The 15,492-nt window shown below is 44.5% G+C and overlaps 1 protein-coding gene across 38 annotated transcripts in view; it reads right to left on the reverse strand.

Annotated features, from left to right (window-relative positions):
* The window catches only part of PLEKHA7 (pleckstrin homology domain containing A7), a 237,118-nt gene that overhangs the window by 46,429 nt on the left and 175,197 nt on the right, over positions 1-15,492 (reverse strand). For all 38 annotated transcript variants that reach the window (XR_007062454.1, XM_047426441.1, NM_001329630.2 and 35 more), the window contains one exon: positions 2,395-2,865. Coding sequence is in view for 37 of the 38 variants with exons in the window: in XM_047426441.1 (XP_047282397.1) it covers positions 2,395-2,865 (471 nt within the window). In the remaining variant the exon portion in view is untranslated. The remainder of the gene's footprint in view (positions 1-2,394; positions 2,866-15,492) is intronic.

The following is a 15,492-nucleotide window of genomic DNA, read 5'->3' on the forward strand; positions in this document are numbered from 1 at the left end:
CTGATTTCCCCCAACTTGTTCCTTCCTTACCCTTCCCTATCTCAGTAACCGTCCAGTTGCTCAAGTCAAAATTCTATAGATCTGTTTATTGTAGCATTATTCACAATAGCCAAGATTTGGAAGCAACCTAAGTGTCCATCAACAGATGAACGGATAAACAAAATGTGGTATTTATACTCAGTGGAGTAGTGTTCAGCCTTAAAAAAGAATGAAATCCTGTCATTTGCAACAACATAGATGGAACTGGAGGACATTATGTTAAGTGAAATATGCCAGGCACAAAAAGACAAACTTTGCATGTTCTCACTCATTTGTGAGAGCTATAAATTAAAACAATTGAACTCATGGAGATAGAGTAGAATAATGGTTACCAGAGGCTGGGAAGGGTAGTGGGCAGGGGGGAGTAGGGATGCTTAATGGGTACAAAAATATAGTTAGATAGAATCAATAAGAGCTAGTATTTGATAGCATAACAGGATGATTATAGTCAACAATAATTTATTGTACATTTAAAAATAACTAAAAGGGGTCAGGTGCAGTGGGTCATGCCTATAATCTCGGCACTTTGGGAGGCCAAGATGGCTTAAGGCCAGGAGTTCGAATCCAGCCTGGTCAACATAGCAAGATTACATCTTTATTTTAATTTAAAAAATAAAAAATAACTAAAAGGGTATAACTGAAATGTTTATAACACAAAGAAATGATAAATGCCCGAGGTGATGGACACCCCAGTTACCCTGTGATTATTATGCATTGCATGCCTGTATCAAAAGATCTCATGTACCCACAAAAATTAAACAAAGTTTTTAAAATTCTAGACATCATCCTTGTTGTTTCCTTCATCCCGCATTCGAATTCACTTACGAGTGTCGCTGTTTCAACCTCCAAAATGTATCTCAAATTGGTTTATTCATCCTATTTCCATTGTCACCCTCCTGGACTACTGCAATAGCCTCCTTCCTAGGCTCTTACCTTCTTTGTGAAATATTCATCAGATCATATCACTTACCTGCTTAAAACCTTCCCGTGGTTCCCTATTGCTTTTTCAAATAAAATTCAAATGCCTTACTTTGGAGTATGAGGACCTACATTACATTACCCCTGCCAACTTTCCAACCTCACTCAGCAGTAACGTCATCTTACAACCACCTACCAGGGGCCTACTTAGGCCGGCACCAAGAAGAGCAGCTTCCCTTCCCTGTGTCCTCAGACAGTAGCTTTCTGTTTTATTAATAAGACACAAAATGTGAACAAACAGGATTGACACCTGGTCATTCTCAGTTGGGAATGGGAAGGTGTCTTAGCTACAGCACAACAGGCCTTCTCTTCTAGTCTGCTCCACAACAATGTCTTATCAGTTACTTAGGAAGGCTCCATTGTGATTTATCCACCATCCACTCTCACAACTGCCCAGCTGGACCAGATTAAAGAGGTTACAGCAACGTACATATGCATAACACACCCACATACTTGAAAACAGGACTAGGCTATTCCCCTAGGAGCACTGACCACCTCCAGAGTCCACAGGTAGAAAGTCTGGGCCTGGCCAACAGGGAGAATGAAGTGTGGCCTTTCAGAGCATGTTATCAGGCCTGTGGCAGACTTGGTCTGGATGCTGGCGCATCCGCTGCAATCCCTGGGGAGCTCTCTGAATGCACATTGGCTTTGCTATCTCCTCTTTTGTCAGTGATTTGTTTAGAAGCCTGAAAATAGTGAGGGGAATCTGTCACGTCTTTCATAATGAAGACAAAGCACAGTGGCTTCTGGGGACAACGGGGAAGCTAGTGACCCTGAATTCTTCACATTCAGAAATGTGTCCTAATTAATCTGAAATTATAATAAAATACAGACAGTGCTTGGCAAATAGCAAGAGATGCATGCCTTCTAAATAATTAAAAACTTCTTGAAGGAATGGGTCTGATAAAGCCCAATGTCAACAGTGCCTACGCACTTCTGTATGTGCCTGGAATTAAAAATGAATCTGTATTTACTCTAGTTTCTATAAACATTTTTTTGGATGTAGAGAAGTAGCAGCACAAAAGGAAAAGATCGATTATCATTTACATGCTGAATGTCTCAAGGCATTCTCTCTGAGGAGCCGAAGAGACTCTGGTGTAATCGCATGGAGGCCTTGGAGGCTCACAGACCCAGGACTGAACTCTGGCCTTACCAGCTGTGTGCTGTGGGCAGGTTCCTTCACTTCTCCAAGCCTCAGTTTCTGTCTATAAGTTAGGAATATCACCCTTTCTTGCAGGGTTGTTACAGGGATTTACGTAGGTAATGGCAGTAAAGAGTTTAAGGCTGCCCTTACGCAGCAAGTGCTGGCTAAATGACAGCTCTTGCCACTACATTATCGTGCTCGTTATAAGCAGCGATCCTGAGTCTATTACTCACCTCCTGCTATCCCCTTTCTGGGCCCTTGCCCAGTGCTCCACCTGGGCCAGATTGCTCTTCCTTTGGCTGTGTTTTTCAGGGTTGGTCCTGGGAGGAAAGGCCCGCTGGTACCCACCAGTCCCATTCTGTTCTCCTGGGCCATATGAGGCAGGCAGCATTCCATTCTTCTCTGCCCGTTGGGGCTGTGCCTGCTGGCCTCTTGGGCCAGTGGGTAAATCCATAAACAAGGCATCCTCCTCGGCTGGCGAGTACGGAGACCTGGCCTTGCTCCGGTCCCGCTTGCCCTCCAGTGGGTCCCTCTGGGAACGGTACTGCTCTCCCTCCTGCTCCTGCCTCTCGAAGTTGACAATGTCATCATGGCCACGATGAGGACAATCTCTCGTATGTCCGGGTCCCACCCGGCCACATTCGTGACAGGACTCTGTGTGGTTGGCCTGGGGGACAGCCTGCCGCTCCACCTTCTCCATATCCCTGCAATGACAGCAGCACATTCAGTTTGCTCCACAGCCAAGACTCCATGATGAAATGCACTGTACACTCAATCACCTGCAGGCCTTTGCACAGGCTATTCCCTCTGCTCAGAACGCCTTTCATGCTCATGTCCTCACTCTGCCTGCCTAACTTCTGCTCCTTTGGGGATCTGGCTTAACACCACCTCCTCCAGGAAGCCACCCTGACATACACTTCCAATTTAGAATAGGATCTTATGCTGACCCCACTGTCACACTAATCGCACTGAACCATAACTTTGTTTACTCATCTAGCTCCCAAATAAACTATGAGTTATTTTCGGCCAGTGGCCCACCTGGCTGATCATCATAAGCCCAGAACTTCTACACAGTGACTGGTATGGAATAGGCACTCCGTAACTACTACTGCAAGAGAGAATGAATAAATTATACATGTGACATTCCCATGAAGACCACTCCTGTGCTCCTATTCTACTCTGTGCTACTGATCTTGCCTTTTCCTTTTGCAATTTGTCCATTTGGGGCTTAAATGGAAGGCTCCTGAGCTCAGGATCCCTCCCACTGGTGTCTAACACAGCCCAAAGTACAAATGATAGCATAATTAACACTCTTCAAAGATGGCGAATAGAGAACAGGCACAGCAACCACTGTATGTGAATAGCAACCTGTTTCTATCTTATCAGGGAACAGTTCAAACAGAAACAACTCTCAATGACTATCTACAACAATTCTGTGAAGTATTATTAGTCAGATTTTAGCAATAAGGAAACTGACTCACAGAGAAGATCGATTATTTGCTCAAGATCAAACAGCTGGAACAGAGTGGAGCCTGGGCTTAAACCCAGGTAGACTCCAGAGCCCATGTGTGTTAGGCTTTGCTCTACTGCCTCTCCACATGTGTCTGTGCAAACCTGGAAGCTATAAAGGAGAATGGGGAGGGGTGATAGGTCAGGGTGTGAACTGAGGCTACAGGAGGAGCTTTGGTACATGGTGGAGGGCTCCTCTTTCATGGTCCATCTCCCTCTGTAAGCTGCCCTTCTCTCTGCCTCCTTGGGGCAGGGTCCTAGTTGTCTGCATCCTGATCACCTGGCACCAGGGATACAATAGTGGCTCCACAAGCTTTGCAGAATTTAGATTAGGGAGGCAAGAGAACTTGCTCCAGCTCAGCTCAGATGGACTAGAAAAAATAACAAAGACGTTTACTTAGATGGGGCAGCTGGTTTAGCTATACTCCATGGTTAAAAAAAAAAAAAAAAAGGTCCTAGCCTTAAGATCCATCACTCAAAATGGCCAAGCCAGAGGCGTTTTCATCTCAACATGAGAGTACATAATAGAAATGCTACTGCATTTACATTTCGGTGGCCACACCCCAGGTGTCTTTGCAACAACTTCAGAACCTCAGCTATCAATAAACAACACAGATTCAGCGCAGAAGCAACTCACCCTGAGAGCTAGTTACAATGCCAACATAACGTGAAAATACAACCCTCCACATGGGATCTGCTTCTCACTGTGTGTGGGTCTGTTGCCTTTAACTTAGGCAGAGTGATATGGTTTGGCTGTGTCCCCACCCAAATCTCATCTTGAACTGTAGTTCCCATAATCCCCATGTGTCGTGGGAAGGACCTGGTGGGAGGAAATTGAATCATGAGGTAGGTTACCCTCATGCTGTTCTCCTGACAGTGGGTGCGTTCTCATGAGATCTGACGGTTTTAGAAGCGTCTTTTCTCTTTTTGCTTGGCACTTCTCCTTCCTGCCATCATGCAAAGAAGGACATGTTTGCTTTCCCTTCCACCATGATTGTAAGTTTCTTGAGGCCTCCCCAGCCATGTGGAACTGTGAGTCAATTAAACCTCTTTCCTTTATAAATTACCCATTCTCAGGCAGTTCTTTATAGCAGTGTGAGAATGGACTAATATACAGAGAGAACTGAGAAAAGCAAGCATTCTTCTCGCTGTTCACGTACCAATGTCTTTTCCATGGAAACCCCAAGCTTTGTGGAAAAAAATAATGCATCTTTGGAACTCCTTTTATCCAACAGAGGACATCTTTCCTCTCCAACCCCCACACTGTATCCACTGCCCTTCTGATAACAGCATTTCAATTTTCATTTGGGAATCACTTTCTCCTACCCTCAGTCCAGGTGGTTCAGGTGCTGCTGACTCCCTGTCCAGCTGAGGCTCCACAGTCTCAGTGACTGGTTCAGGAGTTGACTACTCCAGGCCAATCAGAGTTAGCCCTGGGACTTGGGTTGGAGCTGCTGCAACTATGTGGGAAGGCACTACTTGAGAATGAAGTTAACACAAAGGAAAGCAGATGGAGAAACATAGAATCCTAAAAACTTGGCTTAAGCTCCTACATCTAACCATATGTAAACCAGATATCTCTTTGGATTTTCTGGTTGTGAATAAATAAATTCCTTCTTTTTTTTTTCACAGCGTCTTGCTCTCTCACCCAGGCTGGAGTGCGGTGGCAATGATCACGGCTCACTGCAGCCTTGATCTGCTGGGCTCAAGTGATCCTCCCACCTCAGCCTCCTGAGTAGCTGGGACTACAGGTGCATGCATGTTTTAATTAGCTCTGCTAATTAAAAAAAAAAAAAATCTGTAGAGACTGGGTCTTGCTATGTTGCCCAGGCTGGTCTCAAACTCCTGGGTTCAAGTGATCCACCTGCCTCAGCCCCCCAAAGTTTTATGATTACAAGCGTGAGCCACCCTGCCGGGGGCCTAAATTCCCTTTTTCAGTTGTTAGAGTTTGGTTTCTGCTACTTATACTGAAAGGGGTCCTGCCTATTAATCATTTCACAATGACATATTGAGATAGTAATGAGTGAGGGCCCATTCATTGTTAACATTCAGTGGCTCTATAAATTCCAGTAGGAGGAAAATACGGGAAATATTCAGGAGCCCATACTTACAGAAAAAGTAATTCAGCCGGGTGCAGTGGCGTGCCAAGGGAGGTGAATCACCTGAGGTCAGGGGTTCAAGACCAGCCCGACCAACATGGTGAAACCCCATCTCTACTAAAAATACAAAAATTAGCTGGGCATGGTGGTGTGCACCTGTAGCCCCAGCTACTCAGGAGGCTGAGGCAGGAGAATCGCTTGAACCTGGGAGGCACAGGTTGCAGTAGCTGAGATTGCACCACTGTGCTCCAGCCTGGGCAACAGAGCAAGACTCCGCCTCAAAAAAGAAAAAGTAATTCTTACCGTAAGTTTATAAAGGGACAACTCTGTTCCACAATGTACATATGACAGGTTTCTTTTTTCTTTTTTCTTTTTTTCACACGATAGGTTTTAGCTTTGTCTTTCCTTTCTCCCTTTAAGCCTCCATAACTAGATTAGTGTAAACTGAACCAACAGTCCTCAAGTTGCCTAAGTTGGCCATTCTTTTTTTTTTTCTTTTTCTGATACAGGGTCCCACTCCGTCACCAAGGCTGGAATGCACTAGCGTGAACAGAGCTCACCGCAGCCTCAACCTCCTGGGATCAAGTGATCCTTCCACTTCTGACTCCTGTGTAACTGGTACCACAGGCGCCTGCCACCATGTCTGGCTAATTTTTAATTTTTTTTTTTTGTAGAGACAAGGTCTTTCTTTGTTGCCCAGGCTAGTCTTGAAATCCTGAGCTCAAGCAATCCTCCCACCTCAGCTTCCAGAAGTGCTGGGATTACAGGCACCAACCACTGTGCCAGGCCTATTTTCTTTATTATTTCTCACATCCAGGAAACTACCCATAGAGGATGTGCTGAGGCTACTTCGGAGATGATGAAGGCTCCAGCTGCCCTCTGGATCACACCCTGGCCAAGTCGCTGAAGATTTAGAATCTTGCATGCTGCTTTGGTTTCACTTGCTCTGATATTTCTAAGTGGTTACTCCAATTGTGATACCCAGGTAATTGTATCTCCTTGTTATTCACACTCCAAAGATAAAGAGCACCTTGTCATAAAAGCCAGACAGTGAAACAAATATGCCACCTATGTGTATGACATTAGAATTGAGAGGAAATGAAGGATTCTTCAACTCTGGGACCCAAAGATTGTGGGCACAATGTCTCAGTCCAACCAATTGTAATGTGGATTTTTCTTCCTTCCCTAACCATTCACCATGTATTTACCAAGCACCTATACAGCCCCCACTGGGACAGGCACCTGGGACTATAAGAGAGTAGCAAAGAAAATAGCCTTTGCCTTCAAAGTCAGACAACCCTGGAGCCCAACTTAATTATGGTAACCACATTGAATACTGTTCCCATAAACACCTGACCCTCAAATCATGGAGTCTGTTAGTCTTCCCTAAGCTTGGAGCTAATTTAACCATAATTCTTAGTCCTTACTATGTATGTACATGAGTATATACACTTCCATATATGCCAGTGCTTCCTGGAAATAAATTTGACAGAGGATGATAAATCATTTTCTTTAAATTAATACCAGCATTTATTGCAAAACAAAGCTTTAGAGGGTGGCAGAGCGAATGGCAGTCAGCTTGCCACTGGGCAGTTTTCTAGCCCTGAAGACTTTGGGGTTATGAACAGCTCCTTATTCCCATGGCTCCCGGGACTTACATAAAATGCACCTTTGTTCCCAAAATGTTCAGGCTGTGGCTGCAGGTAAGAAAGGTGAAAGTAATATTCCCTACTCCCCCACCTTACCAGACCTGAACATTTAACTTACTAAGTTATGGAATTTAAGGTCAAAAAGGTTTTTTGGTATTCTCCCTGTCTCCTTGCATTCCCAACAACTTAACACATGACCTCTCAAATTTGTGACACTTGTCACAAAACAGATCTGCAATGCTCGATTTAGCACAACGATGGGAAGGAATGAAGCACCCCTCGGCCGTCAATGACTGTATTACTCAGGCAGCTTGGCCATGCAAAGCAGAGATGTTTAGCTAAGAAAACACAAGCCTTTCCCAGCTGGGCTGCTGTTCCCATGCAGGTCATTGCTACGATCGTGAACATCTGAAACCGGTCACTGTTCAAAAACACAGGAAATTCCTGACACTCAGTGGCCATTTTGGCCATATGTGTCACTTTTTGAAAATAACAGCTGGCACAGGTTTTAGAACCAGCTGGACCTAGATTCAAGAACTGGTTCCACCACATATAAGCTGTGTGACCTTGGGCAAGTGACCTCTCTAGTTTCAAGTTCCTCATCTATAAAATGGGATAACAGTGTCTCCTTGGGTTGTTGTGAGGATTAATGGTGCACAGAAACAGCACAGCACAGTGTCTGGCACACAGTATGCCCTCAGATACAAATGTCTTCACTACCCAGTAGGTATTCCCTCCTCCCTTGCCCCAATTTTTTGAAAGTCGCAATGTACCCAGCAAAACACTTACATTTCCCAATCTCCCTTGTAGCTGAGGATGATCATATAACATAGCTTTGGCCAATAAGATATAAGCATAAATTGCTAGGCGGAGTCCTCCAGGAAAGTCTTTACAAGAAGGCAAGCTTAGCTAACCCTTCTCTTCTTCCTGCCTGGGATTTAGACTTTGCTGAATTGCAAAGTGATAAAAATAAGGATGCAAGTCATATGCTAAAAAGCTGGGTAGAAGGTGATAAAAAGCCCACGTCCCTGATTGCATCACAGTGCTACTGTACCAACCTACTGACTAACCCTGGATTCCTGCTATGGGAGAAAACTAAAATCCAATTTGATTATGCCACCTTAAATTGGGTTGTTCTATTTCTAGCAACCAAACATGACCCCTAACTGTTACAAGGGGCTACTCTTATCATTGACTGGGGTTGGGCCCCAGCATTTCTAGCATATCACAGAATGCTATTTGTCTGTTTAGAGCAAATTCTTATTTTCCCTTGCAAGTGGGAAGAGCACATACCTCAGACTGGCGATACTTCTCTCTTATTTCTTTTCTTCACAAGAACTTGAATGTTAACAGATCTTACCAAGCAACTGTGCACTGATTATTATTTTATTCTGCCTCCAAATCATTTATCTCATCAGGCAATGAGGAATATTTCCTCCTATCTTAATGCTAAATGCACACACACCCCACACACATTCAATCTCATTCAAAGACTGAGATGGGAAGAGGAATGACAGCTTGTAGGGGCTTGATTGAACCTTAGTCCTGATGTCCAACACAGCCTTTCTGTTGTAATCCCACTGGAGGGATCCCTCCCTGCTCACCTTACCTAAATGACCAAACTAGGAGCCTAAGAACAAGAACCCAGGCCACTGAGAGTCTTGGAGAGTTGGATCTGAGCCAGGCCAGATGATGAAGTCTTGCCATGGGAAACCAGCTCAGCCTGTGTTAACAGATCCTGGGTCCTGAGCACTGATCTGCAGTCTCAGGAATAGGGTGGGCTCAAAAGCCAGAACCCACTCTGGGCATAATCAATAGACTTGTACAAAAGACTGAAGAGAAAGAAGCCCAAAGTATGTGGAGCACCCTAAGGCAGGCTCGCTCTTTTGAATGAGTTCCTAGCATTTGAGGAAGGAGATAGCCAGGGAGAAATGGAGAAGGGAGTTAGTTTCTTCTTTTCCCCAGAGTTAAATAGGGCAGCTCCCTTGGGATGGAGGGAGAATAGCCTGCTACTTTTCATGCTGTGCTTTGCCTAAATTAACAAGAGGGCTTGACAGCTTTGATGACACCCTCCACAATCCTTCAGGCCTCCCTCCCACAGAGAAGAGCGAGGCTGCAGAATAAACGAAACAAACCAGAATGCTAGGCTGAGGCTGCCTCCTGCCTCAGTAGAGCAGCTATTGGCAAAATCCCTTTTAAAGTTGTAGGGATTGACAAACCAGACTAAGAAGAGGAAAAAAGCTATTCCAGGCCTGCCAGCCCTCCTCACTTTATTCATTCCTGCCTGAAGAATCCTTCTCTCTTTCTTCTACCTGGGTAAGCCATGCCACCAGTCACAGCTCAACCTGAGCCACCCTGAAGCTCTAGCACACACCACGCTCACTCACTTTCCACCTCCCCAGGGAAACCAGCACTCCCGTTCTGGGAGATACATTTTTTTAATGGCCATGGCTTGGTTATTGTTACCATATGCTAGGCCCTACTGTGTGCTAGGAATCTGTCATGGACAACCTGCAATCCCTGTAACAATTCTGCAAGGTCAGGACTGAGCCCAGAGAGGCTGAGGGCACACACGACTACCGGATTACCTATAATAAATGGACTCTAATAAAGGACAGGAATCTGGCAGCGGCAGCCATCACTGACTGAGCACTTACTAAATGCAAAACTCTGAGCTAAGCACTTTACCACCTCTTCTTATCATCACACAAACCCACAGAGCTAGAGACATTTTTCTTTCATGAAAGGTAATAAAAGTGGCCGGGCACGGTGGCTCACATCTGTAATCCCAGCACTTTGGGAGGCCAAGGTGGGTGGATCACCTGAGCTCAGGAGTTTTATATATAGATATATGTTTTTTGTTTGTTTGTTTTGTTTTGTTTTTCGAGATGGAGTCTTGCTCTATCACCCAGGCTGGAGTGCAGTGGCGCGGTTTCGACTCACTACAACCTCCTCCTCCCGGGTTCAAGCGGTTCTCCTGTCTCAGCCTCCTGAGTAGCTGGGATTACAGGCATGTGCCAACATGCTAATTTTTGTATTTTTAGTAGAGACAGCATTTTGCCATGTTGGCCAGGCTGGTCTCAAACCCCTGACTTCAGGTGATCCGCCTGCCTAGGCCTCCCAAAGTGCTGGGATTACAGGCATGAGACACCATGCCTGGCCACCCTTAATAAATATTTATAGAATAAAAGACTAAATGGATGAATGCATGAACAAATGCACCAATTCAAGTTGATGAAAGAAGTTCAGCATACCACAGAGAATGGGAAATGGCAAGAGATGAACCAAAGGTGTTTGTAGGGACCAGGCCCATGCAGGGTTTCCAAAGACTTACTAAGGAAATTGGACTTTATTCTAAAGGTGACTCTACTACAAGTTTCTTTAGTCCCAAGACAGGACTGCAGCTACTCCAGATAACACAGAGGTTAGGAAATTGAGAAAAAAGATGAGTTGTTTTCTGATATGCCCTCCTGCCTGAGTCACTTCTCAGTTTTGTAAGCTGTAAATGCCAAATAACCTCCTTAGTTGGTGCTTTAGCTTATTAGAGAGGAAAAAACATCCTTAGACAAGACAGAAAAGGCAGTATTATGGCGGAAGTCAGTAAGACAGATTTCAAAAAGGTTGTTGAGAATCAAAAACCAGAGTCCACAGCATGGCCAGTAGAAGAATATGGACGTGAGGCAGAAGATTACTTGGGGGGGCGGGGGCAGAGAGCAGGCCCTGCCAGGAGTGCAGGGTATCCCTCACAGCACGTGGCGTGGGATCTCAAAAATACTGGAATTAATGTCTATCATGGAATTCTGAAGCCTGTGTAACAAACAAGAGAACAAAAGTCAGAGGTACAGGCTAGGCGCGGTGGCTCATGCCTGTAATCCTAACAATTTGGGAGGCTGAGGTAGGTGGATCACTTGAACCCAGGAGTTCGAGGCCAGCCTGGGCACCATGGTGAAACCTCATCTCTACAAAAAATACAAAAAATGAGCCAGGCACGGTGGCACATGCCTGTAGTCCTAGCTATTTGGGAGGCTGAGGTGGGAGGTTCACTTGAGCCTGGGAGGCAGAGGTTGCAGTGAGCCAAGATCATGCCACCGCACTCCAGCCTGGGTGACAGAGCGAGATTTTGTCTCAAATAAAAAAGTGAGAGTTGCAGTGAGGACTCTTAGCTCTGCTCCTGGGCCAGAAGAATAGGAAGAGGCTGGGGGAAGTGGGAGCTGAAGACAAATAGGACTGAGGGATGGGGCTGTAGGGACCCTGAACTGTTGAACAACTCACACTGCTAGGAGATGAGTACATCCTGGCAGAGAAGAGAGTGCAGTTTGTCCATAGGAGACTCATCATTGAGATCTAGGAATTAATGATGAAACTGGAAGAGGGTAAAGAGAAAACAACTGAAGATACTGTCAAAGCAAATCCTATGGAAGTTAATACAGCTGATAGGGAGCACCTACTATGTCTCAGGCACTGGACTAAGTAAGCACTTGATACATTTGTTTAATTTAATCCTTGTAGCAAGCCTATGAACTAAGAAAAATCAAGGTTTCAAAAGCATGCATAATTTGCACAAGATGACACAGCTAGAAAGTAGTAGAGCATGGATTTGAACCCAGGTCTATCCGATTTCAGAGACTAAGCACTGGGAGGAGATACCTAAGGCAAAAGAAATAGGTATAACAGGAAGTGAGGGATAAATCAGCTGGCCTGGACATTGATTACTGATGCCCTCTTTACCATGTCCCAGTAAGCCATTTCTGCCCATAGTCCTCTGCCCATGGATCCCTAACACTTCCTTGGGAATGTGCACCACCTCACTCTCAGTCCTCGCGGCCTGGATAGGGCTCCACCCCTGGTTCTCAGAAGTGACGCATGTGTTTCAGGCCTCTGCAATCAGCATGATGTTGTCCCTGGCCATGGAAGATGGTCGGGGACATAAATGTAAACTAAACCTGTCTAATCAGTATGAATCTCAGAGCTTCTAGACCAGACTCTGGCTCTTTCCTACTGGATTTTAACCTTGATGATATGAGTTTGGGCCCACTGCAGCTATCTTGCCACCAGGCCCTAGATGTGCCAGGGACCTCCTCGTGGAGCTCAAGACTGAATTTAACACACAGGTGGGAAGAGCCCAGAGTCTGAGAATATGACTTCTAGTGATACTGTCTGAGCCTTGAACCCCATTGCTTCTAAAGCCAGGTCTATCTTGAGCTTTTCAGTGACATGAACCAATAAATTCCCTCCTTTTAAAGGTAAATTTCTCTGTATTTTCTGTCATCTGCAGTCAACAGTCCTAATACATACCACCACTAATAAAGGAAGCACCTGCCTGTATGAATAAAGAGAGAAGCCTCTGGGTGAGAATCACAGAGGGAGCGAATGAAATGCTACTGTTGGGGCCACCCACTTACAGAGATGGAGCTTTTCCAAGGCAAAACACCAAACTGGAAGACAGGCAAGATTTAGTCTGCCTGACGAATAATTTTAACCAACCAAATGTCTGAACATCTTATTCTGGAAAAATAGAACATTTAATAAGTCTGTATTCGCTTGGCTGAAAATTTCAGCTCTCAGAAACTTATGGAGAAATGCTATTATGTCTTTATTGTGACTCAGAAGCTGGAAAAACTTGTGTTTTTTATTTTGTTTTAGTTTCCTGGGCTTTTTTTTTTTGTTTTTTCTGTTTTTTTTGTTTTGTTTTGTTTTTGAGACAAAGTCTCACTCTGTCGCCCAGGCTGGAATGCAATGGCATGATCTTGGCTCACTGAAACCTCTGCCTCCTGAGTTCAAGCGATTCTCCTGCCTCAGCCTTCTGAGTAGCTGGGATTACAGGAACCCGCCACCAAGCCCAGCTAATTTTTGTATTTTTAGTAGAGATGGAGTTTCACCACGTTGGCCAGGCTGGTCTCGAACTCCTGACCTCAAGTTGTCCGCCTGCTTCGGCCTCCCAAAGTGCTAGGATTACAGGCATAAGCCACTGCACCTGGCCTGTGTTTTTTATTTTTAAAGGGACAAAACCTTGTGCAAACATGATCATGGAGTTTTAAGAGTTTATTAAGAGCATAATAAGAATACATCTCAATGTCAGAGAAAAACTAGGGATGATACAATGGCCTGAGACTAGGGAAAGGGGAGGAGCCCTTCCAACACCAAAATCTGATGCTAAAAAATACCCAAATCTCAGCTATCTAGATTAATCCTCAAGGGTTCTAGCCAGACATCATTCATCAATCATGCATTTTTTCCTATAAAGTTCAATCTCGTTCTCAAATTCTCTCTCATCTAGCATCCTAGTCAGCCACAATGAATTGAGCAAAGTTGGGACACTAGAAGAAACCCATTTTGCCATCTCTAGTGTAATAACACAGGGAACTCTTGAAGCTCAAATTATAAAAGGACATGTATAAGAAATGGAAGGCGGGGCACAAATCCATAGTGGAATGGGCCCACATGAACAATGGCAGAAAAAGTAAAGTCTAGAAGGAGCTGTTTGTTTATTTAAAGTAAAACAAAACAAAAACAAAATTTCTATTTATTAAAATACATGGGGGTTTAAAAAAAAGAGATGTAGGTGTCTCTGCTTAGGGAAGATGACCCAGCATAAACAGAGAAGGCAGAATTCTCCAGCTTCTGGGTTTAATTCCACATTTTCATTAAGAAGAATGATCTTCACCAGGAAAAAGGGAACAAACCTGGTTAAGAGAGCCTGAAAGTCCACGATGGGGAGGAAGAACAGGAAGCCCTACTCTCCTGTAGTTGAGCTCCAGGCCCAACTATCGGTGGTGCCCCAGTGACATAAGGGAAATTGGGCTTGAGAAACCTATTGGGTGATCTCCAAGGAATCAAAGGGAAGGGGGAAAAGACCAGACTATCAGAAACTGGCAAACAGCATTCTGATTTTCAAAGAAGAGGAAAAACAAATTCCATAGCCTATCATCAACCTCTGCAAGAGGCTAAGCAGCAATGTTAACCTGGCAGATTTCAGAGCACACAGGAAAGGAGGCAGCAAGAAAAGGCAAACAACTCAGTAGAAAAATGGGCAGAGGATAGATACAGGCAATTCCCTTAACAGGAAATACACGTGCCCATTGAGCTGGGCATGGTGGCTGGTGACTGTCATCTCAGCTACTTGGGAGGCTGAGCTAGGAGGATTGCTTGAGGCAAGTAATTCAAGACCAGACAGGGCAACATAGTGAGCCTCTGTCTCTAAAAAATGTTTTAAAATTAGCCAGGCATGATGTGGTGGCCCACAGCTGAGGTCCCAGCTACTAGGGAGGCTGACATGGGAGGATTGCTTGAGCCCAGGAGTTCGAGGCTGCAGTGAACTATGATCATACCACTGCACTCCAGCCAGGGTGATAGATTGAGACTCTGTGTCTTAAAAAAAAAAAAAAAAAGTGGAAATAAATATAAAAGATCCTAACCATCATGGAAATATACATTAAATTAAGATAATCAGATACTATTTATGTATCAGATCAGTAAAATTAAGACATAACATCAACTATTGGCAAAGATATGGGGAAATGACACACTCACTAGTGAAATACACAGTTTTCTTTTTTTTTTTTTTTTTTTTTGAGACAGTCTCGCTCTGTTGCCCAGGCAGTGGTGCGATCTCTGCTCACTGCAAGCTCTGCCTCCCGGGTTCACGCCATTCTCCTGCCTCAGCCTCCCGAGTAGCTGGGACTACAGGTGCCCACCACCACACTCTGCTAATTTTTCATATTTTTAGTAGAGATGGGGTTTCACCGTGTTAGCCAGGATGGTCTCGATCTCCTGACCTCATGAGCCACCCGCCTCGGTCTCCCAAAGTGCTGGGATTACAGGTGTGAGCCACCGCACCCGGCCACACAGCTTTCTTTAAAGGGCAGTTTGGAGGTATTGATTAAAATTAAAAATGTATTATACTTTTACCCAGCAATCTGAAAGACTCACACATGCAGAGGCTTGTAGAAGGTTAATACAAAAATTTTAAATACAGGTTTTAAAAATACACTACAGTACATCTACATTATGAAATACCATATGAGTAAAAATTAAAGGTGATTCATATATACTGATATTGAGTGATCCTTCAGAT

This window comes from Homo sapiens, chromosome 11 (genome assembly GCF_000001405.40).
Source record: "Homo sapiens chromosome 11, GRCh38.p14 Primary Assembly".
Taxonomy (NCBI): domain Eukaryota; kingdom Metazoa; phylum Chordata; class Mammalia; order Primates; family Hominidae; genus Homo; species Homo sapiens.